Source organism: Homo sapiens, chromosome 4, assembly GCF_000001405.40.
Source record: "Homo sapiens chromosome 4, GRCh38.p14 Primary Assembly".
Lineage (NCBI taxonomy): Eukaryota > Metazoa > Chordata > Mammalia > Primates > Hominidae > Homo > Homo sapiens.
The window spans coordinates 124,482,513-124,483,473 of NC_000004.12; the positions used below are offsets into that span (position 1 = coordinate 124,482,513).

At 43.3% G+C, this 961-nt stretch overlaps 1 annotated feature.

The window, feature by feature from the left end:
• Positions 431–961: an enhancer, noted in NCBI's record as "OCT4-NANOG hESC enhancer chr4:125404098-125404628 (GRCh37/hg19 assembly coordinates)". NCBI's record gives its function as "activates a minimal SCP1, AML or CMV promoter by ChIP-STARR-seq in naive H9 embryonic stem cells {active_cell/tissue: H9 hESC(naive)}" and the evidence as "EXISTENCE:reporter gene assay evidence [ECO:0000049][PMID:30033119]".

Sequence of the window (961 nt, forward strand, 5' to 3'; positions counted from 1 at the left end):
CTTGGGCAATAATTAGGGCAGGTGGGCTATTTCAATGAATAGCCAATGGAGCCACTAAAACCTGACTCTCAATCATTGTCTACAAATAAAAGCACAAGGTATAAGGGTATAGTCAGGATTTCTAGCATGTTTGTGGTTTGAAGTTAGTACAACTTACTGCATTTTGACTTTATTTATTCATTTATTTTGTTGTTGTTTTATATGTCTATTTTCTTTACTAGATCTTGAGAGGTTTGGGCCAGAGCTGGGTCTTATTGTTTTTGTTCTGCAGGCCTAGTAGTTTACCTAGTATTGGCTGGCCACTCAGTAAATGTTCAGGAAAGAATGGATGGATAAACAGATGTAGATGTCCATGGAAACTATTTTTTTTTGTAGGTATTGAGTACAAGGCAGAGCAAGAGTAGCATAGATCTGACTTTCCTAAACATAATCTTTCCCTTCTTGACACCCATCACCAGTGAACACAGACTCTTTACCCAAATTAACAGCCCACCAGCCCAAGATAATGGCACAAGTCTGAATTGAGTTGTGCTTATGATATCCCTCCCTCACAGATCAGCCCACTCCTCCTTTAAAATTCTATGCAGGGACTGCGGTGCCAGCCAGCCCCTCTCATTCACTGTCTGGAAACACAGTGGCAGTTTTCCCTTTTGGCCTATTGTTAGAGTCAGCGGTGGCTAACAGATCCCATCTGCCTTACTCAGCTCTGTCATCCTCTTTGCATGGCCCTCAGCTGTGAGGGCACTTCTCAGCAAGGCTGGCTGGGGAGTAGTCACTCCCTCTTTCCCAGCTGCCTGTTTCCTGGAAAGCATGCCGGGTCTCCATTATCTCTTCTCTGTATAAGTAGTTAATCTACCAGGCCAGTAAATTCTTTAGATTTTGCATACCACACAGTTTCAAAAGTAGTGTAGATCTGAGTTCCCCAAACCTGCTCCTTCCCTCCTTCACCTCCATCACCAAT